The 27,376-nt window shown below is 37.9% G+C and overlaps 1 protein-coding gene and 1 long non-coding RNA gene across 4 annotated transcripts in view; both read right to left on the bottom strand.

Moving 5' to 3' along the window:
- KLF8 (KLF transcription factor 8) overlaps window positions 1-27,376 on the bottom strand; it is a 383,409-nt gene that overhangs the window by 85,807 nt on the left and 270,226 nt on the right. The window lies entirely within an intron of this gene.
- The window catches only part of LOC124900486 (uncharacterized), a 150,609-nt gene continuing 123,864 nt past the window's right edge, over window positions 632-27,376 (bottom strand). For both annotated transcript variants that reach the window (XR_007068245.1, XR_007068244.1), the window contains exon 2: window positions 632-752. This is a non-coding gene — a long non-coding RNA (uncharacterized LOC124900486). The remainder of the gene's footprint in view (window positions 753-27,376) is intronic.

Here is a 27,376-nt window from a genome sequence, read left to right as displayed (position 1 = left end):
CTACTCAAATTATTCAGAAAAAATAGGTGAAAAGGGAATACTTTAAAATTCATTCCACAAGGCTAGTATTGCCCTGATTCCAAAAGCAGACAAAGACATATAAAAAAATTACAGGCCAATATCTCTAATGAATATTGATGCAAAAATCCTCAACAAACTATGAGCAAACCAAATTCAACAATACATTAGAAAGATCCTTCATCATGACCAAGTGCAATCCCTGGGATGCAATGATGGTGAATTGTGTGCAAATCAATCAATATGATACATAATATCAACAGAATGAAGGATAGAAATGTATTAAAATGAGCATTATGACAGACATTAACTGTGTTCAGATTTTATTAAGCTAGCTAGTTTCTATTTAATATTTAAATCTTCCCATAATGAAATGCAGTGATGAACTGTAAAAATCAAGATTAAATAAGAAAATCATTAATAGGGTCAAAGACTTTATTATTGCTATTATGTATAAGCTGAGAAATGGTTGCTTCTTAAGAAAAAATACATCCTTTGTTAAAATATATCCCTTGTTATACTTAGGGCAAGTTACAAACCTCACATTTTTTTTGACAGGAGAATTGTTCCAGTGAATCATTGATTTCCAGTGAACCCCAGACATGACAAGCAGTCTAGTCTCCAAATTTTATTAGTTGGTTGTTACCATCACACTAATAGACAACCTCCATTTTCCAAGAATAAAACTGTAATATCTGTAGGTCATTTTGCAGCTCGATTTCTCTGCCCAGCTTCTAAAATTAGAACAAAGGTGGGGAAGGATGTGATTAACACAGATTCAGTAAAGCATGTCACACATACTCTCCCCCCACCCCATCCCCAAGCAGTAGGTTACCCTTAAAATGAAACAGATCAGTGCTCTCCATTTAGAATCAAACTGTTGTTATCTAGAGACAGTTTAATGTCATACTATGGGGATTAAGTTTGACTTTGTATTTTGCTGGGCAACTTACATTGGAACTTTCATAGGACAACAGAAGGTCTGACAGAGGAACTTAAAAAAATGAAGGAGAAAAGCCATATGATTATTTCAACTGATGCTGAAAAAGCATTTAATAAAATTCAACATCCCTTTATGATAAAAAAAAACCCTAAAGAAACTGGGGAAACAAGTAACATACCTCAACATAATAAAAGCCATATATGACAGACCCATGGCTAGTACCATACTCAATGAGAAAACAGTGAAAACCTTTTCTTGAAGATCCGTAACACAACAAGGAGGCCCATTGTCAATGCTGTTCTTATACGTAGTACTGGAAGTCCTAGCTAGAGCAATCAGAAAAGAGCAGAATATAAAGGAAATCAAAATTGGAAGGGAAGAAATCAAATTATTCTTGTTTGCTGATGATATGATCATATATTTGCAAAAGCCTAAAAACTCCACAAAAAAGCTACTAGAACTGACAAACAAATTCAGTAAATTTGCAGTATACTAAATCAACATACAAAAATCAGTAGCATTTCTATATGCCAACAGTGAACAGTCTGAAAAACATTTTAAAGTAATCCCATTTACAATGGCCACACAAAAAATTATATATCTAGGAATTAACTTAACCAAAGAAGTGGGAAAACTCTATTATAAAAACTGTAAAACACTGATGAGAGAAATTTAAGAGAACACTAAAAATTGGAAAAATATTCCATGTTCAAAATTGGAAGAATTAACTATGTTAAAATGTCCACACTACATAAAGCAATCTAGAGATTCAACTCTATTCCTATTAAAATACCAAAGACCTTCCCCACAGAACTAGAAAAAACTATTCCAAAATGCATATGGAACCATAAAAAAAAAGCTGAATAGACAAAGCTATCCTAACCAAGAACAATAAAACCAAAGAAATCACATTACCTGACTTCAAATTATGCTAAACATATAGTAACCAAAACAGCATGGTACTGGCATGAAAAGACACATAGACCAGTGGAACAGAATAGCAAACCCAGAAAAAAATCCACACATCTACAGTGAAGTCATTTTTGACAAACGTGACAATAACATACATTGGGGAATGGACCATCTCTTCAATAAATGGTGATGGGAAAACTGGATATCCATATGCAAAAGAATGAAACCAGACCCCTTTCTCTCACCATATACGAAAGTAAAATCAAAATGGATTAAAGACTTGAATCGAACATCTTAAACTATGAAACTACTGCAAGAAAACATTGGAGAAAATATCCAAGACGTTGGCCTCGGCAAAAATTTCTTGAGCAATATTCCACAAGCACAGGTAACCAAAGCAAAAATGGACAAATGGGATCACATGAAGTTAGAAAGCTTCTGCACAGCAAAGGTTACAATCAACAAAGTGAAGAAACGACCCACAGAGTGGGAGAAAATCTTTGCAAACTACCTTTCTGACACAGGTTTAGTAACCAGAATGTATATGGAGCTCAAACAACAATATAGGGAAAAATCTTATAATTCAATAAAAAAGATCAAAACATTTAAATAGATATTTCTCAAAGGAAGACATACAAATAGCAAACAGGAATATGAAAAGGTGCTCAACATCATTGATCATTAGAGAAATGCAAATCAAAACTACAATGAAATGTCATCCACTCCAGTTAAAAATAGCTTTTATCCAAAACACAGACAATAATAAATGTTGGCAAGGATACAGAGAAAAGGGAACACTTGTATATTTTGGGTGGGGGTGTAAATTAGTACAACCACTATGAAGAACAGTTTGGAGGTTCCTCCAAATCTAAAAACAGAGCTACCATAAGATCCAGCAATCCTACTGCTGGGTATATACCCAAAAGAAATGAAATCAGTATATCAAAGAGATATCTGAACCTCTATGTTTGTTCCAGCAGGGTTTACCACAGCTAAGATTTGGAAGGGACCTAACAGCCCATCAACAGATAAATGGATAAATAAAATGCTGTAAATATAAACAATGGAATATTATTCAGCCACAAAAAGAATGATATTCAGTCATTTGCAACAATATGCATGGAACTGGAGATCATTATGTTATAAGCCAGGCACAGAAAGACAAACATTACATGTTCTCACTTATTTGTGGGATCTAAAAATAAAAACAATGAAACTCATAGACACAGAGAGTAGAAGGATAGTTTCCAGAGGCTGGGGAGGATAATGGAGTGCAGGTGGGAGGGGGGGGGAAGGTTAATGGTACAAAAAAATGGTTAGAAAGAAGAAATAAGACCTACTATTTGATAGCACAACAGGGTGACTATAGTTAACAATAGCTTAATTGTACATGTACAAATAACTAAAAGAGTGTAATTGGATTGTTTGTAACTCAAAGGATAAATGTTTGAGAGGATGGATACCTCATTCTCCATGATGTGCTTCTTTCACATCGCATGCCTGTATGAAATATTTCATATACCTCATAAATATATACACCTACTATGTACCCACAAAAATAAACAAGAAAACAAACAAAAAAACCCAACAAACAAACAAACCAAAAAGACAGATCAAAAGACTTAGTCATGCAATGTGAAAAAAAAAAGGTAGGGTCTCAAAAGTCAGTTTGTAGCTCTTCTCTCTCATAAATACTCCAACAGTTCACCTGGAGGACTATTGGACAGTACGAGCCTTCTTCATACTCACTCTCTGGGAGTGGATACTCTTCTCTAGGAGGCTCAGATACTTGCAAGTCAAGTCTTAATGGGCTTGGCAATGAGGGAGAAGTTGTTGACATACTTCCCGAATCCCAAGAGAGTCCTGAATTCTTAATATTGGTAAGGCATCCACAGATCTCAATGATCAATGTTTTCATGGCTCCATGCTGTTCCACTTGATAAACGAAATAACTCATGTATTTTATTTAAGTCCAGGAAAACAAGAATTTGTTGAAAACTGACTTAGGGCCAGCCATATTTAGGCTACTGGGTTTTTGATGAGCCTCTATTAATGTAATTTTAATTTATGGCTGCACATTATTGAGGTATGATTGACATGTAAAAACTGTACATATTTAATGTATACAACTAAATGAGTCTGAGGATAAGTATATATCCATGAAACCATCAAGTCCATAGACATATCCATCACCTCCCAAAGTTTCCTTCTGTCTTCTTCACTATAATAATTCTTTCTTGTGAGATCACTTAATATAAGAACTATTCTCTTATCAAATTTTAACTACAATACAGTACTGATAAGTATAAGCACTATGCTGTATGGTGGATCTCCAGGATGTATTTACCTTGCATAACTGAAACTTTGTACCCTTTCATGATCATCTCTCCATTCCCCGCCCCAACCCCTAACAACTACCATGTTTTTGTGTGTATGAGTTTGCCTGTTTTAGATTCATCGAATAATTGTGATCACATAGTGCTTGTCTTTCTTTGCCTGGTTTATTTAACATAGCATCTTATCCTCCAGCTCCATCCATGTTGTCACAAATGGCAGAATTTACTTCTTTTTAAAGGGTGAATAATATTTCACTGTATGTATGTATCACATTTTCTTTCTTCATTCTTGTGCCAATGGACATTTAGGTTGTTTTCTTGTCTTGGCTATTGTGAATAATGTTGCAATGAACATTGAAATACAAATACTCTTTGAGATCCTGATTTCAATTTCTTTGGATAAATACCTAGAAGTGGGATTGCTAAATCATATGGTAGTTTTATTTTTAATTTTTTGAGAAAACATCACACTGTTTTCCATAATGGCTGTAACAATTTACACTCTCATCAAAACTGTAGTTTTCTCCACAATCCTAACCAATATGTGTCATCTTTTATTTTTTAAAAAGTAATGGCCATCCTAACACTTGTGATGTGATATATTATTGTGATTTTGATTTGCATTTCCCTAATGATTAATAATGCTGAGTGTCTTTCATATACCTTTTGACTATTTGTATGTTTTCTTTGGAAAAAAATGTCTAGTCAGGTCCTTTCTTCCTTTTTAAAGTGGGATATTATTAATTTTTTGCTGTTGAGTTGTAGGCATTCCTTATATATTTGATTATTAACACATTTATCAGATATATGGCTGGCAAATATTTTTTCCCATTCCATAAGATGGCTTTTCATTTTTTTTTTGATTGTTTCCTTTGCTGCTCAGAGGTTTTCTAGTTTGATGTAGTTCACTTGCTTTTTTTGCTTGTGTTTTTGGTTTTACATCTATAAAATCATTGCCAAGACCAATGTGAATGATATTTTCTCTATTGTTTCCTTCTAGGATTTTTATGGATTCTTTCTTTATTCCATGCAAGTTAATTTTTGTATGTCATCTAAGCTAAAGGCCCAATTTCACTTTTTTTGCATGTGAATGTCCAATTTTCCCAACACCATTTAATATTATTTTTAATTTAAAAATACTTAGTTATATTTTTATATGTTTTATATTTAATTTTTTGTAGATATTTTAGACTCTTTATTGGTTCACCTTTTTTTAATTCTTAAGTTTTAGTTTTTGTGAGTACATACAATGTGTTTACGTTTATGAGTTAGAAGAGACTTTTTTAAATACTTTAACTTCTACGGTACATGTGCACAATGAGCAGGTTTGGTACATAGGTATACATGTGCTATGTTGGTTTGCTGCACCCATCAACACATCATTTACATTAGGTATTTCTCCTAATGCTATCCCTCCCCCAGCCCCAGACCTCCCAAAAGGCCCTGGTGTGTGATGTTCCCTGCCCTGTGTCCAAGTGATCTCATTGTTCAAATCCCATCTATGAGTGAGAACATGTAGTGTTTGGTTTTTTTGTCCTTGCGATAGTTTCCTGAGAATGATGGCTTCCAGCTTGATCCATGTCTCTGCAAAGGACATGAACTCATCCTTTTTTATGGCTGCATACTATTCCATGCTGTATATGTGCCACATTTTCTTAATCCAGTCTATCATTGATGGACACTTGGGTTGTTTCCAAGTCTTTGCTATTGTGAATAGTGCCGCAATAAACATACGTGTGCATGTGTCTTTATAGAAGCATGATTTATAATCCTTTGGGTATATATCAAATAAAGGAATTGCTGGGCCAAATGGTAATTCTAGTTCTAGATCCTTGAAAAATCGCCACACTCTCTTAGACAATAATTGAGCTAATCTATACTCCCACCAACAGTGTAAAAGCATTCTTATTTCTCAACGTCCTCTCCAGCATCTGTTTTTTCCTGACTTTTTAATGATTGCCATTCTAACTGGCGTGACATGGTATTGGGATTTTGATTTACACATCTCTGAAGGCCAGTGATGAGCATTTTTTCATGTGTCTGTAGGCTGCATATATGTCTTCTTTTGAGATGTGTCTGTTCATAACCTTTGTCCACTTTTTGATGGGGTTGTTTGTTTTTTTCTTGTAAATTTGTTAGAGTTCTTTGTAGATTCTGGATATTAGCCCATTTCAGATGGGTAGATTGCAAAAACCTTCTCACATCCTGTAGGATGCCTGTTCACTCAGATGGTAGTTTCTTTTGCTGTGCAGAAGCTCTTTAGTTTAATTAGATCCCATTTGTCTATTTTGGATTTTGTTGCCATTTCTTTTGGTGTTTTAGTCAGGAAGTCCTTGCCAATGCCTATTTCCTGAATGGTATTGCCTAGGTTTTCTTCTAGGGTTTTTATGGTTTTAGGTCTAACATTTAAGTCTTTCATCCATCTTGAATTAATTCTTTATAAGCTGTAAGGAAGGGATCTAGTTTCAGCTTTCTACATATGGCTAGCCAGTTTTCCCAGCACCATTTATTAAATAGGGAATCCTTTCCCCATTTCTTGTTTTGGTGAGGATTGTCACAGATAAGATGGTGGTAGATGTGTGGTGTTATTTCTGAGGCCTCTGTTCTGTTCCTTTGGTCTATAACTCTCTTTTGGTACCAGTACCATGCTGTTTTGGTTACTGTAGCCTTGTAGTATAGTTTGAAGTCAGGTAGCATGATGCCTCCAGCTTTGTTCTTTTGACTTAGAATTGTCTTGGCAATGCAGGCTCTTTTTTCATTTCATATGGACTTCAAAGTAGTTTTTTCCAATTCTGTGAAGAAAGTCCTTGGTAGCTTGATGGGGATGGCATTGAATCTATAAATTACTTTGGGCAGTATGGCCATTTTCATGATATTGATTCTTCCTATCCATGAGCATGGAATATTCTTCCATTTGTTTGTGTCCTCTTTTTATTTCGTTGAGCATTGGTTTGTAGTTCTCTTTGAAGAGGTTCTTCACATCCCTTGTAAATTGGATTCCTGCATATTTTATTCTCTTTGTAGCAATTGTGAAAGGGAGTTCACTCAGGATTTGGCTCTCTGTTTGTCTGTTAATGGTGTATAAGAAAGCTTGTGATTTTTGCACATTGATTTTCTATCCTGAGACTTTGCTGAAGTTGCTTATCAGCTAAAGGAGATTTTGGGCTGAGACGATGGGGTTATTTAAATATACCATCAAGTCATCAGCAAACAGGGACAATTTGACTTCCTCTTTTCTTAATTGAATACCCTTAATTTCTTTCTCTTGCCTGATTGCCCTGGCCAGAACTTCCAACGCTATGTTGAATAGGACTGCTGAGAGAGGGCATCCTTGCTTGTGCCAGTTTTCAAAGGGAATGCTTCCAGTTTTTGTCCATTCAGTATGATATTGGCTGTAGGTTTGTCCTAAATATCTCTTATTATTCTGAGATAAGTCCCATCATTACCTAGTTTATTGAGAGTTTTTAGCATGGAAGGCTGTTGAATTTTGTCAAAGGCCTTTTCTGCATCTATTGAGATAATCATGTGGTTTTTGTCTTTGGTTCTGTTAATGTGATGGATTATGTTTATTGATTTGCATATATTGAACCAGCCTTGCATCCCAGGGAGGAAGCCAACTTGATCATGGTGGATAAGCTTTTTGATGTGCTGCTGGATTCGGTTTGCCAGTATTTTATTGAGGATTTTTGCATCGATGTTCATCAGGGATATGGGTCTGAAATTCTCTTTTTTTTGTTGTGTCTCTGCCAGGCTTTGGTACTGGATGATTTTGGCCTCATAAAATGAGTTAGGGAGGATTCCCTCTTTTTCTATTGATTGGAATAATTTCAGAAGGAATGGTGCCAGTCCCTCTTTGTACCTCTGGTAGAATTCAGCTGTGAATCCATCTGGTCCTAGACTCTTTTTGGTTGGTAGGCTATTAATTATTGCCTCAATTTCAGAGCTTGTTATTGGTCTATTCAGGGATTCAACTTCTTCCTGATTTAGTCTTGGGAGGGTGTATGTGTCCAGGAATTTATCCATTTCTTCTAGATTTTCTAGTTTATTTGTGTGGAGGTGTTTGTAGTATTCTCTGATGGTAGTTTGTATTTCTGTGAGATCAATGTTGATATCCCCTTTATCATTTTTTATTGCATCTATTTGATTCATCTGTCTTTTTTATTAGTCTTGCTAGTGGTCTATCAATTTTGTTGATCTTTTCAAAAAACCAGCTCCTGGATTCATTGATTTTTTGAAGGTTTTTTTTTTGTGTCTCTATTTCCTTCAGTTCTGCTCTGATCTTAGTTATTTCTTGCCTTCTGCTAGCTTTTGAATGTGTTTGCTGTTGCTTCTGTGGTTAACTGTGATGTTAGGGTGTCAAATTTAGATCTTTCCTGCTTTCTCTTGTGGGTATTTAGTGCTATAAATTTCCCTCTACACACTGCTTTAAATGTGTCCCTGATATTCTGGTACATTGTGTCTTTGTTCTCATTGGTTTCAAAGAACATCTCTATTTCTGCCTTCATTTCGTTACTACCCAGTAGTCATTCAGGAGCAGGTTGTTCTGTTTCCATGTAGGTGTGCTGTTTTGAGTAAGTTTCTTAATCCTAAGTTCTAATTTGATTGCACTGTGCTCTGAGAGATAGTTTGTTATGATTTCTTTTTTTTACCTTTGCTGAGGAGTGCTTTACTTCCAATTATGTGGTCAATTTTGGAATAATGAGATGTGGTGCTGAGAAGAATGTATATTCTGTTGATTTGGGGTGGAGAGTTCTGTAGATGTCTATTAGATCTGCTTGGTGCAGAGCTGAGTTCAAGTCTTCGATATCCTTGTTAATCTTCTGTCTTGTTGATCTGTGCAATATTGACAGTGGAGTGTTAAAGTCTCCCATTATTATTGTGTGGGATTCTAAGTCTCTTTGTAGGTCTCTAAGGACTTGCTTTATGAATCTGGGTGCTCCTGTATTGGGTGCACATATCTTTAGGATAGTTAGCTCTTCTTGTTCAATTGATTCCTTTACCATTATGTAATGGCCTTCTTTGTCTCTTTTGATCTTTGTTGGTTTAAAGTGTGTTTTACCACAGACTAGGATTGCAACTCCTATTTTATTTATTTTTATTTTTTTTTGCTTTCCATTTGCTTGGTAAATCTTCCTTCATCCCTTTATTTTGAGCCTCTGTGCATCTTTGCACGTGAGATGGGTTTCCTGAATACAGCACACTGATGGGTCTTGACTCTTTATTCAATTTGCCAGTCTGTGTCTTTTAATTGGGGCATTTAGCCCATTTACATTTAAGATTAATATTTTTATGTGTTTACTTTATCCTGTCATTATGATGTTAGTTGGTTATTTTGCCCATTAATTGATACCATTTCTCCATGGCATGGATGGTCTTTACAATTTGGCATGTCTTTGCAGTGGCTGGTATCGGTTGTTTCTTTCCATGTTTCATGCTTGCTTTAGGAACTCTTGAAGGCAGTCCTGGTGGTGACATAATCTCTCAGCATCTGCTTGTCTGTAAAAAATTTTATTTCTCCTTCACTTATGAAGCTTAGTTTGCCTGGATATGTAATTCTGGGTTGAAAATTATTTTCTACAAGAATGTTGAGTGTTGGCCCCCACTCTCTTCTGGCTTGTAAGGTTTCTGCCAGGAGATCCACTGTTAATCTGATGGGTTTTCTTTTGTGGGTAACTCGACCTTTCTCTCTGGCTGCCCTCAAAACTTTTTCCTCCATTTTGACCCTTGTGAATCTGACAATTATGTGTCTTGGGATTGCTCTTCTCAAGGAGTATCTTTGTGGTGTTCTCTCTGTTTCCTGAATTTGAATGTTGGCCTGCCTTGCTAGGTTGGAGAAATTCTCCTGGATAATATCTTGAAGAGTCTTTTCCAACTTGGTTCCATTCTCCCCATCACTTTCAGGTACACCAATCAAACACAGATTTGGTCTTTTTACATAGTCCCACATTTCTTGGACACTTTGTTTGTTTCTTTCTACTTTTTTCTGTAACCTTGTCTTCTGGCTTTATTTCATTAATTTAATCTTCAATCACTGATACCCTTTCTTCCACTTCATTGAATCGGGTATTGAAGCTTGTGCACGTGTCACGAAGTTCTCAAACCATGGTTTTCAGCTCCATTAGGTCATCTACGGTCTTCTCTACACTAGTTACTCTAGTTAGCCATTCATCTAATCTTTTTTCAAGGGTTTTAGCTTCCTTGTGATGAGTTTGAACATCCACTTTTAGTTTGGAAAAGTTTGTTATTACTGACCTGCTGAAGCCTACCTCTGTCAACTTGTCAAAGTCATACTCCATCCAGATTTGTTCTGTTGCTGTTGAGGAGCTGTGATCCTTTGGAGTAGAAGAGGTACTCTGATTTTTAGAATTTTCAGCTTTTCTTCTCTGGTTTCTCCTCCTCTTTGTGGTTTTATCTACCTTTAGTCTTTGATGTTGGTGACTTACAGATGGGGTTTTGATGTAGATGACCTTTTTGTTGATGTTGATGGTATTCCTTTCTGTTTGTTAGTTTTCCTTCTAACATTCAGGTCCCTCAGCTGCAGGGCTGTTGGCATTTGCTGGAGGTCCACTCCAGACCCTGTTTGCCTGGGTATCACCAGCGGAGGCTGCAGAACAGCAAATATTGCAGAACAGCAAATATTGCTGTCTGATCCTTCCTCTGGAAGCTTTGTCCCAGAGGGGTAGCTGCCTATATGAGGTGTCTTTCAGCCCTTACTGGGAGATGTCTCCTAGTTAGTTTACATGGGGGTCAGGGACCCACTTGAGGAGGCAGTCTGTCCGTTCTCAAAGCTCAAACACCATGCTTGGAGAACCACTGCTCTTCAGAGCTGCCAGACAGGGCCATTTAAGTCTGCAGAAGTTGTCTGCTGCCTTTTGTTTAGCTATGTCCTGCCCACAGAGGTGGAGTCTAGAGGCAGTAGGACTTGTTGAGCTGCAGTGGGCTCTGCCCAGTTCGAGCATCCAGGCTGCTTTATTTATGTACTCAAGCATCAGCAATGGTGGACACCCCTCCCCCAGTCAGGCTGCCACCTCGCAGTTTGATCTCAGACTACTGCACAAGAAGTGAGCAAGGCTCTGCGGGTCTGGGACTCGCCAAGCCAGGCACAGGAATCTCCTTGTCTGCTGGTTGCTAAGACCTTGGGAAAAGTGCAGTATTGGGGTGGGAGTGTCCCGTTTTTCCAGGTAGTCTGCCATGGCTTCCTTTGGGTAGGAAAGGGATATCCCCCAACCCCTTTCACTTCCTGGGAGACGTGACGCCCTGCCCTGCTTCAGCTCACCCTCTGTGGGCTGTACCCTCTGTCCAACCAGTCCCAATGAGATGAACCAGGTACCTCAGTTGGAAATGCAGAAATCACCCATCTTCTGCTTTGATCACGCTGGGAGCTGCAGCCTGGAGCTGTTCCTATTTGGCCATCTTGGAACACCTCCCCACCCCGAGTTAGAGGAGACATTTTAATACAAGGATGCAATACACAGTAATCACATCAGGGTAAATAAGCTATCTACAGCATAAAGCATTTTTTCCTTTGTGTTGCAAACAATCCAGTTACACTCTTCTAGTTATTTTAAAATGTATAATTAAACTATTTTTATTATAGTCACTCTCTTGTGCTAGCAAGTAGTAGGTCCAATACATTCTTTCAATTTTTTTTGCACCAATTAAGCATCCCCACTTCCCCACACCACTGAATTACCCTTTCCAACCTATGGTAAACATCCTTCTACTCTGTCCCCATGAGTTCAACTGCTTCAATTTTTAGTTCCCATAAATAAGCCTTAACATGTGAAGTTTGTGTTTCTGTGCTTGGCTTATTTCACTTAGCATAATAGCTTCCAATTCCATTCATGTTGTTGCAAATGACAGAATTTCAATCTTTTTTATGGCTAAATAATACTCAATTGTGTATATATACATTTTCTTTATCCATTCATTTGTTGATGAACACTTCAATTGCTTCCAAGTATCAGCTATTGTTGATAGTGGTGCAATAAATATGAAAGTGCAGATATCTCTTAGATATAATGCTTTCCTTTCTTTTGGTTATATATCCAGCAGTAGCATTGCTGGATCATATGGCAACACTATTTTTATTTTTTGAGGAACCTCCAAACTGTTCTCCATGGTGGTTGTACTAACTTACAACCCCACCCAAAATGTACAAGTGTTCCCTTTTCTCTGCGTCTTTGCCAACATTTGTTATTGTCTGTGTTTTGGATAAAAGCCATTTTAACTGGGTGACATGATATTTCATTGTAGTTTTGATTTGTATTTCTCTGATGATCAGGGATGTTGAGCACCTTTTCATAAGCTTGTTTGCCACTTGTATGTATTCTTTTGAGAAATGTCTTTTTAATTTTTTTGCTCTTTCTTTAATTGGATTATAAGATTTTTCCCTAAAGAGTTGTTTGAGTCCCTTACACATTCTGGTTCTCAAACCCTTGTCAGAAAGGTAGTTTGCAAAGATTTTCTCCCACTCTGTGGGTCGTTTCTTCACTTTGTTGATTGTATTCTTTGTTGTGCAGAGCTTTCTAACTTCATGTGATCCCATTTGTCCATTTTTGCTTTGGTTACCTGTGTTTGTGTAGTAAGAAATTTTTGCCCAGGCCAAAGTCCTGGAGATTTTCCCCAATGTTTTCTTGTGATAGAAACTTTAACTTTACCATTTTACTTTAACATGTTTGATTCAAGTCTTTAATCCATTTTGATTTTACTTTTGTATATGGTGAGAGAAAGGGGTCTGGTTTCATGCTTTTGCATATGGATATCCAGTTTTCCCAGCACCATTTATTGAAGAGATGTTCCATTCCCCAATTTATGTTATTGGCACCTTTGTCAAAAATGACTTCACTGTAGATATGGATTTGTTTCCAGGTTTTGCATTCTTTTCCACCGGTCTATGTGTCTTTTCCTGCCATTACTGTGCTGTTTTGGTTAATATAGATTTTGCATAATTTGTAGTCAGGTATTATGATTCCTTCAGTTTTGTTGTTTTTCGTTAGGACAGCTTTGGCTATTTTAGGTATTTTGTGGTACCATATAAATTTTAGGATTGTGTTTTCTATTTCTCTAAAGAGTGCCATTAGTGTTTTGATCGAGATTGCATTGAACCTGTAGATTGCTTTTTGTAGTATATATTAATATTGATTTTTCCAGTACATGAGCATGGAATATCTTTCCAGCTTATTGTTGTCTTCTTGAATTTATTGCATCAATGTTTTATAGTTTTCAATGTCAAGATATTTTATTTCTTTGGTTAAATTAATTTCTAGGCATTTTCTTTAATTTTAGCTATTGTAAATGGAATTGCTTTCTTGATTCTTATTTCAGATGGTTTCCTCTTGGCATTAAGAAATTCTACTGATTTTTGCATGTTCACTTTTTATCCTGCAACTTTACTGAATTTGTTTATCAGTTCTTATAGTTTTTGTGGAATCTTTGGAATTTTCCAAATATAAAATCATATCATCTGCACACAAGAATAATTTGTCTTCTGCCTTTCTGATTTGTATGCCCTTTATTTCCTTCTCTTGTCTGATTGCTTTAGTTAGGTCTTCCCATACTACGTGAAATAACAGTGGTGACAATGGGCATCCTTATTGTGGTCCAGATCTTAGGCAAAGGCTTTAAATTTTTCCTGTTCAGTATAATACTAGCTGTGGGTCTGTCATATATGGCTTTTATTAGTCGGAGGTATATTCTATCAATACCCAGTTTTTAAATAATTTTTAACATAAAGTTATGTTGAATTTTTATTAAATGCATTTTTAGCATCAATTGAAATGATCAAGAATGATCATTTCAATACAAGAACGAATAATTTTTGCCATTCATTTTGTTGATACGATGCATCAAATTGATTAATTTGCATGTTCTGAACCATCCTTGAATCTCTGGGATAAATCCCAGATGGTTAAGATGAAAGATCTTTTTAATCTATTGTTGAATTCTTTCTGCTACAATTTTCTAGAGAATTTTTGCATCAATACTTATCAGTGATACTGGCCTGTAGTTTTCTTTGTTTGGTGTCTCTGTCTGATTTTGGTTTATACTGGCCTCATGGAATAAGTTTGGAAGTACTCCCTCATCTTCTAGTTTTTGAAATAGTTTGAGTAGGAGTGGTATTTGTTCTTCTTTAAATGTCTGATAAAATTTAGCTGTGAATGTATCAGGTCCCAGACCTTTCTTAGCTTAGACAATTTCAACTACAGCTTCAATCTCATTACCTGTTTTTGGTCTGTTCATGTTTCAAATTTCCTTGTGGTTCATTGCTAGTAGGCTGTATGTTTCTAGCAATTTATCCTTTTCATTTAGATTTTCTAATTTATTGGCATATAGTTGCCCATAGTAGCCACTAATGATCCTTTGAATTTCTGTAGTATCATTTATAACATCTCCTTTTTCATCTCTGATTTTATTTATTTGGATCTCTTTTTTGTTTTTCTTAGTCTGACTAAAGGTTTGTCAGTTTTGTTTAACTTTTCAAAAAACCAATTTTTGTGTAGTTGATCCTTTGTATTATTTTCTTTTTCTCAAATTCATTTATTTCTTTTGTTATCTGTAGTATATCTTCTACTAATTTGGGGTTTTGTTTGCTCTTGCTCTTCTAGTTCTTTAAGATGCATCATTAGATTGCTTATTTAAAGCTTACCTTGTCTTTTGAGATAGGTATTTATATCAATCAACTTCCTTCTTCATACTGGTTTTGCTGTATCCCATAGGTTTTGGTATAGTGGGTATTCACTTCTTTCAAGAAATGTTTTAATTTTCTTCTTAATTTCTTTGTTGATTCACTGGTCATTGAGGAGGATACATTTAATTTTCATGCGTTTGTATAGTTTCCAAAATTATTCTTATTAATTTCTAGTTATATTCCATTATGTTCAGAGAAGATGCTTGATATTATTTCAATTTTTTGAGTGTTTTAAGACTTGTTTGTTACCTAAAATATGATGTTTCTTTGAGAATGATACTTATGCCAAGGAAAAAATATTTATTCTAGAGACATTGGATGAAATGTTCTGTAATTATTTATTAGATTTATGTGATCTATAGTGCAGATTAAGTTTGATTATTCTTTGTTGATTTCCTGTCTGGAACATCTGTCTAATACTGAAAAAGGGGTACAGGAGTCTCCAGCTCTAATTGTATTGGGGTCTATCTCTTTTTTAGCTCTAATGATAATTGCTTTATATATCTGAGTGCTCCAGTGTTGGACTCATATATTTACAATTGTTATATACTCTTGCTCAGTGGACCCCTTTGTCATTGTGTATTGACCTTCTACTATCTTCTTATTGTTTTGGTCTTGAAATCTACTTTGTCTGATAAAAGTATAGCTACTGGTGGCTTATTTATGTTTCCAATGGCATGCAATATAATTTTCCATCCCTTTATTTTTATTGTATATGTTTCTTTATAGACGAAATGTGATTCTTGCAGGTAACAAATCACTAGGTCCAGATTTTTTATTTTTTTATTTTTTTAATTTTATTATTATTATACTTTAAGTTTCAGGGTACATGTGCACAATGTGCAGGTTAGTTACATATGTATACATGTGCCATGCTGGTGTGCTGCACCCATTAACTCGTCATTTAGCATTAGGTATATCTCCTAATGTTATCCCTCCCCCCTCCCCCCACCCCACAACAGTCCCCAGAGTGTGATGTTCCCCTTCCTGTGTCCATGTGATCTCATTGTTCAATTCCCACCTATGAGTGAGAACATGTGGTGTTTGGATTTTTGTCCTCGTGATAGTTTACTGAGAACGATGATTTCCAATTTCATCCATGTCCCTACAAAGGACATGAACTCATCATTTTTTATGGCTGCATAGTATTCCATGGTGTATATGTGCCACATTTTCTTAATCCAGTCTATTGTTGTTGGACATTTGGCTTGGTTCCAAGACTTTGCTATTGTGAATAATGCCACAATAAACATATGTGTGCATGTGATTTTATAGCAGCATGATTTATAGTCCTTTGGGTATATACCCAGTAATGGCATGGCTGGGTCAAATGGTATTTCTAGTTCTAGATCCCTGAGGAATTGCCACAATGACTTCCACAAGGGTTGAACTAGTTTACAGTCCCACCAACAGTGTAAAAGTGTTCCTATTTCTCCACATCCTCTCCAGCACCTGTTGTTTCCTGATTTTTAATGATTGCCATTCTAACTGGTGTGAGATAATATCTCACTGTGGTTTTGACTTGCATTTCTCTGATGGCCAGTGATGATGAGCATTTTTTCATGTGTTTTTTGGCTGCATAAATGTCTTTTTTTGAGAAGTGTCTGTTCATGTCCTTCGTCCACTTTTTGATGGGGTTGTTTGCTTTTTTTCTTGTAAATTTATTGGAGTTCTTGTAGATTCTGGATATTAGCCCTTTGTCAGATGAGTAGATTGCAAAAATTTTCTCCCATTTTGTATGCTGCCTGTTCACTCTGATGGTAGTTTCTTTTGCTGTGCAGAAGCTCTTGAGTTTAATTAGATCCCATTTGTCAATTTTTGCTTTTGTTGCCATTGCTTTTGGTGTTTTAGACATGAAGTCCTTGCCCATGCCTATGTCCTGAATGGTATTGCCTAGGTTTTCTTCTAGGGTTTTTATGGTTTTAGGTCTAACATTTAAGTCTTTCATCCATCTTGAATTAATTTTTGAATGAAGTGTAAGGAAGGGATCCAGTTTCAGCTTTCTACATATGGCTGGCCAGTTTTCCCAGCACCATTTGTTAAATACGGAATTCTTTCCCCATTGCTTGTTTTTCTCAGGATTGTCAAACATCAGATAGTTGTAGATATGTGGCATTATTTCTGAGGGCTCTATTCTGTTTCATTGATCTATATGTCTGTTTTGGTACCAGTACCGTGCTGTTTTGGTTACTGTAGCATTGTAGTATAGTTTGAAGTCAGGTAGCATGATGCCTCCAGCTTTGTTCTTTTGGCTTAGGATTGACTTGGTGATGCGTCTCTTTTTTGGTTCCATATGAACTTGAAAGTAGTTTTTTCCAATTCTGTGAAGAAAGTCATTGGTAGCTTGATGGGGATGGCATTGAATCTATAAATTACCTTGGGCAATATGGCCATTTTCATGATATTGATTCTTCCTACCCATGATCATGGAATGTTCTACCATTTTTTTGTATCCTCTTTTATTTCATTGAGCAGTGGTTTGTAGCTCTCCTTGAAGAGGTCCTTCACATCCCTTGTAAGTTGGATTCCTAGGTATTTTATTCTCTTTGAAGCAATTGTGAATGGGAGTTCACTCATGATTTGGCTGTCTGTTTGTCTGTTATTGGTGTATAAGAATGTGATTTTTGTACATTGATTTTGTATCCTGAGACTTTGCTGAAGTTGCTTATCAGCTTAAGGAGATTTTGGGCTGAGACAATGGGGTTTTCTAGATATACAATCATGTCATCTGCAAACAGGGACAATTTGACTTCCTCTTTTCCTAATTGAATACCCTTTATTTCCTTCGCCTGCCTAATTGCCCTGGCCAGAACTTCCAACACTATGTTGAATAGGAGTGGTGAGAGAGGGCATCACTGTCTTGTGCCCGTTTTCAAAGGGAATGTTTCCAGTTTTTGCCCATTCAGTATGATACTGGCTGTGGATTTGTCATAGATAGCACTTATTATTTTGAGATACGTCCTGTCAATACCTAATTTATTGAGAGTTTTTAGCATGAAGCATTGTTGAATTTTGTCAAAGGCCATTTCTGCATCTATTGAGATAATCATGTGGTTTTTTTCTTTGGTTCTGTTTATATGCTGGATTACATTTATTGATTTGCATATATTGAATCAGCCTTGCATCCCAGGGATGAAGCCCACTTGATCATGGTGGATAAGTTTTTTGATGTGCTGCTGGACTCGGTTTGCCAGTATTTTATTGAGGAAGTTTGCATCGATGTTCATCAAGGATATTGGTCTAAAATTTTCTTTTTTGGTTGTGTCTCTGCCCGGCTTTGGTATCAGGATGATGCTGGCCTCATAAAATGAGTTAGGGAGGATTCCCTCTTTTTCTATTGATTGGAATAGTTTCAGAAGGAATAGTACCAGTTCCTCCTTGTGCCTCTGGTAGAATTCCGCTGTGAATTCATCTGGTCGTGGACTCTTTTTGGTTGGTAAGGTATTGATTATTGCCACAATTTCAGAGCCTGTTATTGGTCTATGCAGAGATTCAACTTCTTCCTGGTTTAGTCTTGGGAGGGTGTATGTGTTGAGGAATTTATCCATTTCTTCTAGATTTTCTAGTTTATTTGCGTAGAGGTGTTTATAGTATTCTCTGATGGTAGTTTGTATTTCTGTGGGATCGATGGTGATATCCCCTTTATCATTTTTTATTGCGTCTATTTGATTCTTCTCTCTTTTCTTCTTTATTAGTCTTGCTAGTGGTCTATCAATTTTGTTGATCCTTTCAAAAACCAGCTCCTAGATTCATTAATTTTTTGAAGGGTTTTTTGTCTCTCTTTCCTTCAGTTCTGCTGTGATTTTAGTTATTTCTTGCCTTCTGCTAGCTTTTGAATGTGTTTGCTGTTGCTTCTCTAGTTCTTTTAATTGTGATGTTCGGGTGTCAATTTTGGATCTTTCCTGCTTTCTCTTGTGGGCATTTAGTGCTATAAATTTCCTTCTACACACTGCTTTGAATATGCCCAGAGATTCTGGTATGTTGTGTCTTTGTTCTCATTGGCTTCAAAGAACATCTTTACTTCTGACTTCATTTCGTTATGTACCCAGTAGTCATTCAGGAGCAGGTTGTTCAGTTTCCATGTAGTTGAGTGGTTTTGAATGAGTTTCTTAATCCTGAGTTCTAGTTTGATTGCACTGTGGTCTGAGAGACAGTTTGTTATAATTTCTGATCTTTTACATTTGCTGAGGAGAGCTTTACTTCCAACTATGTGGTCAATTTTGGAATAGGTGTGGTGTGGTGCTGAAAAGAATGTATAATCTGCTGATTTGGGGTGGAGAGTTCTGTAGATGTCTATTAGGTCCGCTTGGTGCAGAGCTGAGTTCAATTCCTGGGTATACTTGTTAACTTTCTGTCTCGTTGATCTGTCTAACGTTGACAGTGGCGTGTTAAACTCTCCCATTATTATTGTGTGGGAGTCTAAGTCTCTTTGTAGGTCACTCAGGACTTGCTTTATGAATCTAGGTCCTCCTGTATTGAGTGCATATATATTTAGGATAGTTAGCTGTTCTTGTTGAATTGATCCCTTTACCATTATGTAATGGCCTTCTTTGTCTCTTTTGATCTTTGTTGGTTTAAAGTCTGTTTTATCAGAGACTAGGATTGCAACCCCTGCCTTTTTCTGTTTTCCATTTGCTTGGTAGATCTTCCTCCATCCTTTTATTTTGAGCCTATGTGTGTCTCTGCACATGAGATGGGTTTCCTGAATACAGCATACTGATGGGTCTTGACTCTTTTTCCAATTTGCCAGTCTGTGTCTTTTAATTGGAGCATTTAGTGCATTTACATTTAAAGTTAATATTTTTATGTGTGAATTTGATCCTTGTCATTATGATGTTAGCTGGTTTTTTTGCTCGTTAGTTGATGCAGTTACTTCCTAGCCTCAATGGTCTTTACAATTTGGCATGTTTTTGCAGTGGCTGGTAGCAGTTATTCCTTTCCATGTTTAGTGCTTCCTTCAGGATCTCTTTTAGGGCAGGCCTGGTGGTGACAAAATCTCTCAGCATTTGCTTTTCTGTAAAGGATTTTATTTCTCCTTCACTTATGAAGCTTAGTTTGGCTGGATATGAAATTCTGGGTTGAAAATTCTTTTCTTTAAGAATGTTGAATATTGGCCCCCACTCTCTTCTGGCTTGTAGAGTTTCTGCCGAGAGATTCGCTATTAGTCTGATGGGCTTCCCTTTGTAGGTAACTCGACCTTTCTCTCTGGCTGCTCTTAACATTTTTTCCTTCATTTCAACTTTGGAGAATCTGACAATTATGTGTCTTGGAGTTGCTCTTCTCGAGGAGTATCTTTGTGGTGTTCTCTGTATTTCCTGAATCTGAATGTTGGCCTGCCTTGCTAGATTGGGGAAGTTCTCCTGGATAATATCCTGCAGAGTGTTTTCCAACTTGGTCCCATTCTCCCCGTCACTTTCAGGTACACCAATCAGATGTAGATTTGGTCTTTTCACATTGTCCCATATTTCTTGGAGGCTTTGCACATTTCTTTTTATTCTTTTTTCTCTAAACTTCCCTTTTCACTTCATTTCATTCATTTCATCTTCTATCACTGACACCCTTTCTTCCAGTTGATCTTGTTGGCTCCTGAGGTTTCTGCATTCTTCACGTAGTTCTCCAGTCTTGGCTTTCAGCTCCATCCGCTGCTTTAACCACTTCTCCGTCTTGATTTTTCTAGTTATACATTCGTCTAAATTTTTTTCAAAGTTTTTAACTTCTTTGCCTTTGGTTTGAATTTCCTCCTGTAGCTCAGAGTAGTTTGATTGTCTGAAGCCTTCTTCTCTGACCTCGTCAAAATCATTCTCCGTCCAGCTTTTTTCCATTGCTGGTAAGGAACTGCGTTCCTTTGGAGGAGGAGAGGCACTCTGCTTTTTAGAGTTTCCAGTTTTTCTTCTCTGTTTTTTCCCCATCTTTGTGGTTTTATCTAATTTGGTCTTTGATGATGGTGATGTACAGATGGGTTTTTGGTGTGGATGTCCTTTCTGTTTGTTAGTTTTCCTTCTAACAGACAGGACCCTCAGCTGCAGGTCTGTTGGAGTTTGCTGGAGGTCCACCCTAGACCCTGTTTGCCTGTGTATCAGCAGCAGTGGCTGCAGAACAGCGGAATTTCATGAACCACGAATGCTGCTGTCTGATCGTTCCTCTGGAAATTTTGTCTCAGAGGAGTACCCGGCCGTGTGAGGTGTCAGTCTGCCGCTACTCGGGGGTGCCTCCCAGTTAGGCTGCTCAGGAGTTCGGGGTCAGGGACGCACTTGAGGAGGCAGTCTGCCCATTCTCTGATCTCCAGCTGCGTGTTGGGAGAACCACTGCTCTCTTCAAAGTTGTCAGAAAGGGACATTTCAGTCTGCCAAGGTTACTGCTGTCTTTTTGTTTGTCTGTGCCTTGCCCCCAGAGGTGGAGCCTACAGAGGCAGGCAGGCCTCCTTGAGCTGTGGTGGGCTCCACCCAGTTCGAGCTTCCTGGCTGCTTTGTTTACCTAAGCAAGCCCGGGCAATGGCGGGTGCCTTTCCCCCAGGCTCACTCCCGCCTTGCAGTTTGATCTCAGACTGCTGTGCTAGCAATCAGTGAGACTCAGTGGGCATAGGACTCTCTGAGCCAGGTGCAGGATATAATCTCCTGGTGCGCCATTTTTTAAGCCCGTCGGAAATGCGCAGTGTTAGGGTGGGAGTGACCCGATTTTCCAGGTGCCGTCTGTCACCCCTTTCTTTGACTAGGAAAGGGAACTCCCTGACACCTTGTGCTTCTCATGTGAGGCAATGCCTCACTCTGCTTCGACTCGTGCATGGTGCACTGCACCCACTGTCCTGTGCCAACTGTCTGGCACTCCCTAGTGAGATGATCCTGGTACCTCAGATGGAAATGCAGAAATCACCCATCTTCTGCATCGCTCATGGTGGGAGCTGTAGACCAGAGCTGTTCCTATTCGGCCATCTTGGCTGCCACCTCCGGGTCCTGATTTTTTATCCATTGAGCCGTTTTCTGTGTTTTGATTAGAGAGTTTCGTTCACTTACAATAAATATTATTATTGATAAGTAAATAGTTAGCCTTGCCATTTTGTCATTTGTTCTCTGTTTTGTCATCTTCTCTTCCTTCTTTCCTTTCTTCCTGTCTTCCTTATAGTGAAGGTAGTTTTCTCTGGTGATATGATTTAATTTCATGCTTTTTAGTTTTTGCAAATTTTTTTTACTTGAGGTTACCATGAGGCCTGTAAATACTATATTGTGGGAGGGTTCCAAGATTGCTGAATAGGAACAGCTACACTCTACAGATCCTAGCATGAGTGGCACAGAAGATGGGTGATTTCTGCATTTCCAACTGTGGTACAGGTTTCATCTCACTGGGGCTTTTTGGACAGTGGGTGCAGCCCACGGAGTGTGAGCTGAAGCAGGGCAGGGCACCGCCTCACCAGGGAAGTGAAAGCAGTCAGGGAATTCCCTTTCCTAGCCAAGGGGAGCCGCGATAGACAGTATCTGGAAAATCAGGAAACTCCCACCCTAATACTGCACTTTTCCATCAGTCTTAGTAAATGGGGAACCAGGAGATTATAACCTGTGCCTGGCTTAGAGTGTCCCTTGCCCACGGAGCCTTGCTCACTGCTAGTACAGCAGTCCAAGATCGAACTGCAAGGTGGCAGCAAGACTGGGTTAGGGGCGTCTGCCATTGCTGAGGCTTGAGTAGGTAATGAAAGTGGCACAGAAGCTCAAAAAGGGTGGAGCCCACCGCAGCTCAAGGAGGCTTACTTGCCTCTGTAGACTCCCGCTCTGGGGGCAGGGCATAGCGGAATAAAAGGCAGCAGAAATTCCTTCAGACTTAAACGTCCATGTCTGACAGCTTTGAAGAGAGCAGTGGTTCTCCCAGCATGGAGTTTGAGATCTGAGAATGAACAGACTGCCTCCTCAAGTGGGTCCCTGACCCCTGAATAGCCTAACTGGGAGACACTTCCCAGTATGAGCTGACTGACACCACATACAGCCAGGTGCCACTCTGAGATGAAGCTTCCAGAAGAAGGAACAGGCAGCAACATTTGCTGTTCTGCAATATTTTCTGCTCTGCAGCCTCTGCTGGTAATACCCAGGCAAACAGGGTCTGGAGGGGACCTCCTACAAACTCCAACAGACCTACAGCTGAGAATCCTGACTGTTAGAAGGAAAACTAACAAACAAAAAGGACACCCACACCAAAACCCCATTTCTAGGTCACCATGATCAAAGACCAAAGGTAGATAAAACCACAAAGATGGGGAGAAAACAGAACAGAAAAGCTGCAAACTCCAAAAATCAGAGCACCTCTTCTACTCCAAAGGAACACAGCTCCTCGCCAGCAACAGAACAAAGCTGGATGGAGAATGACTTTGATGAGGTAACAGAAGTGGGCCTCAGAAGATCAGCAATAACAAACTCCTCTGAGCTAAAGGAGGATGTTCAAACCCACGACTAAGAAGCTAAAATCCTTCAAAAAAGATTAGACAAATGGTTAACTAGAATAAACAGTATAGAGAAGACCTTAAATGACCTCATGGAGCTGAAAACCTTGGCACGAGAACTACGTGACGAATGCACAAGCTTCAGTAGCCGATTCGATCAACTGGAAGAAAGGGTATCAGTGATTGAAGATGAAATAATTGAAATGAAGCGAGAAGAGAAGTTTAGAGAAACAAGAGTAAAAAGAAATGAACAAAGCCTCCAACAAATATAGGACTATGTGAAAAGACCAAATCTATGTCTGACTGGTGTACCTGAAAGTGATAGGGAGAATGGAACCAAGTTGGAAAAGACTCTTCAGGATAGTATCCAGGAGAACTTCCTCAACCTAGCAAGGCAGGCCAACATTCAAATTCAGGAAATACAGAGAGCACCACGAAGATACTCCTCAAAAAGAGCAACTGCAAGACAAATAATTGTCAGATTCTCCAAAGTTAAAATGAAGGAAAAAATGTTAAGGGCAGCCAGAGAGAAAGGTCAGGTCAACCACAAAGGGAAGCTAATCAGACTGACTGTGGATCTCTTGGCAGAAACTCTACAAGCCAGAAGGGGGGGGAGCAATATTCAACATTCTTAAAGAAAATAATTTTCAACCCAGAATTTCATATCCAGCCAAACTAATCTTCATAAATGAAGGGGAAATAAAATCCTTTACAGACACGCAAATGCCGAAAGATTTTGTCACCACCAGGCCTGCCTTTCAAGAGCTCCTGAAGGAAGATCTAAACATGGAAAGGAACAACCGGTACCAGCTACTGAAAAACATGCCAAACTGTAAAGACCACTGATGCTAGGAAGAAACTGCAAGAATTAATCAGCAAACTAACCAGCTAACATCATAATGACAGGATCAAATTCACATATAACAATATTAACCGTAAATGTAAATGGGCTAAATACTCCAATTGAAAAACACAGACTGGCAAATTGGATAAAGAGTCAAGACCGATCAGTGTGCTGTATTCAGGAGACCCATCTCAGGTGCAGAGACACACATAGGCTCAAAATAAAGGGATGGAGGAAGATCTACCAAGAAAATGGAAAACAAAAAAAAGCAGGGCTTGCAATCCTAGTGTCTGAAAAAAACAGACTTTAAACCAACAAAGATCAAAAGAGACAAAAAAGGCCATTACATAATGGTAAAGGGATCAATTCAACAAGAAGAGCTAACTATCCTAAATATATATGCACCCAAGACAGAGGCACCAAGATTCATGAAGAAAGTCCTTAGAGACCTACAAAGACACTTAGACTCCCACACAACAATAATGGGAGACTTTAGTACCCCACTGTCAATATTAGACAGATCAATGAGACAGAAGGTTAACAAGGACATTCAGGACTTGAACTCAGCTCTGCACCAAGCAGACCTAACAGACACATACAGAACTCTCCACCCCAAATCAACAGAATATATATTCTTCTCAGCATCACATTGCACTTCTTGCAAAATTGACCACATAGTTGGAAGTAAAGCACTCCTCAGCAAATGTAAAAGAACAGAAACTATAACAAACTATCTCACAGACCACAGTGCAATCAAATTAGAACTCAGGATTAAGAAACTCAGTTGAAACTGCACAACTATATGGAAACTGAACTACTTGCTCCTGAATGACTACTAGGTACATAAGGAAATGAAGGCAGAAAGAAAGACATTCTTTGAAACCAACGAGAACAAAGACACAACATACCACAATCTCGGGGACACATTTAAAGCAGTGCACAGAGGTAAATTTATAGCACTAAAAGCTCACAAGAGAAAGCAGGAAAGATCAAAATTGACAGCCTAACATCACAATTAAAAGAACTAGAGAAGCAAGAGCAAACACATTCAAAAGCTAGCAGAAGGCAAGAAATAACTAAGATCAGGGCAGAACTGAAGGAGATAGAGACACAAAAAAACGCTGAAAAAAATAAACGAATCCAGAGGGTTTTTGGAAAAGATCAATAAAATTGATACACTGCTAAGAAGACTAGAGAGAAGAATCAAACAGATGCAACAAAAAATGATAAAGGGGATAACACAATTGATCCCAAAGAAATACAAACTACCATCAGAGAATGCTATAAACATCTCTACTCAAATAAACAAGAAAATCTGAAAGAAATGGATAAATTCCTGGACATATACACCTTCCGAAGAAGTTGAATTGCTGAATAGACCAATAACAGTTTCTAAAATTGAGGCAATAATTAATAGCCTACCAACCAAAAAAAGTCCAGGATCAGACGGATTCACAGCCGAATTCTACGAGATGTACAAGGAGGGGCTGGTACCATTCTTTCTGAAACTATTCCAATCAATAGAAAAAGAGGGAATCCTCCCTAACTCATTTTATGGGGCCAGCATCATCCTGATACCAAAGCCTGGCAGAGACACAAGAAAAAAAAGAGAATTTTAGAAAAACATCCCTGAGGAACATTGATGCAAAAATCCTCAATAAAATACTGGCAAACTGAATCCAGAAGCACATCAAAAAGCTTATCCACCATGTCAAGTTGGCGTCATCCCTGGGATGCAAGGCTGTTTCAACATACCCAAATCGATGAATGTAATCCATCATATAAACAGAAGCAAAGACAAAAACCACATGATTATCTCAATAGATGCAATAAAGGCCTTTGACAAAATTCAACAACCCTTCATGCTAAAAACTCTCAATAAATTAGATATTGATGGGATGTATCTCAAAATAATAAGAGCTATTTAGGACAAACCTGCAGCCAATATAATACTAAATGGGCAAAAACTGGAAGCATTCCCTTTGAAAACTGTCACAAGACAGGGATGCCCTCTTTCACCACTCCTATTCAACATAGTGTTGGAAGTTCTGGCCAAGGCAATCAGGCAGGAGAAAGAAATAAAGGTATTCAATTAGGAAAAGAAGAATTCAAATTGTCCCTGTTTGCAGATGACATGATTGCATATTTAGAAAAACCCATAGTCTCAGCCTAAAATCTCCTTAAGCTGATAAGCAAATTCAGCAAAGTCTCAGGATACAAAATCAAAGTGCAAAAATCACAAGCATTCCTATACACCAATAACAGACAAACAGAGAGCTAAATCATGAGTGAACTCCAATTCACAATTGCTACTAAGAGTATAAAATACCTAGGAATCCAAATTACAAGGGATGTGAAAGATCTCTTCAAAGAGAACTACATACAACTGCTCAATGAAATAAAAGAGGGCACAAACAAATGGAAGAACATAGAACATTCCACGCTAATGGATAGGAAGAATCAATATTGTGAAAATGGCCATACTGCCCAAGGTAATTTATAGATTCAATGCCATCCCCATCAAGCTACCAAGGACTTTTTTCACAGAATTGAAAAAAACTGCTTTAAAAGTCATATGGAACCAAAAAAGAGCCCACATTGCCAAGGCAATCTTCAACCAAAAGAACAATGCTGGAGGCATCAGGCTAGCTGACTTCAAGCTATAGTACAAGGCGACAGTAACTGAAACAGCATGGTACTGGTACCAAAACAGACATATATACCAATGGAACAGAACAGAGCCCTCAGACTTAATGCCACACATCTACAACCATCTGATCTTTGACAAACCTGACAAAAACAAGAAACGGAGAAAGGATTCCCTATTTAACAAAGGGTGCTGGGAAAACTGGCTAGCCATATGTAGAAAGCTGAAAATGGATCCCTTCCTTACACCTTATACAAAAATTAATTCAAGATGGATTAAAGACTTAAAAGTTAGAACTAAAACTATAAAAACCCTAGAAGAAAACTGAGCCAATTCCATTCAGGGCATAGGCATGGGCAAGGACTTCCTGACTAAAACACCAAAAGCAATGGCAACAAAAGACAAAATTGACAAATGGGATCTAATTAAACTAAAGAGTTTCTGCACAGCAAAACAAACTACCATCAGAGTGAACAGGCAACCTACAGGATGGGAGAAAGTTTTTGCAATCTACCCATGTGACAAAAGGCTAATATCCAGAATCTACAAAGAACTAAACAAACT

Source organism: Homo sapiens, chromosome X, assembly GCF_000001405.40.
Source record: "Homo sapiens chromosome X, GRCh38.p14 Primary Assembly".
Lineage (NCBI taxonomy): Eukaryota > Metazoa > Chordata > Mammalia > Primates > Hominidae > Homo > Homo sapiens.
The sequence above is the reverse complement of the archived record's forward strand: the minus strand, read 5'-3'. Positions and strand labels throughout refer to the sequence as shown.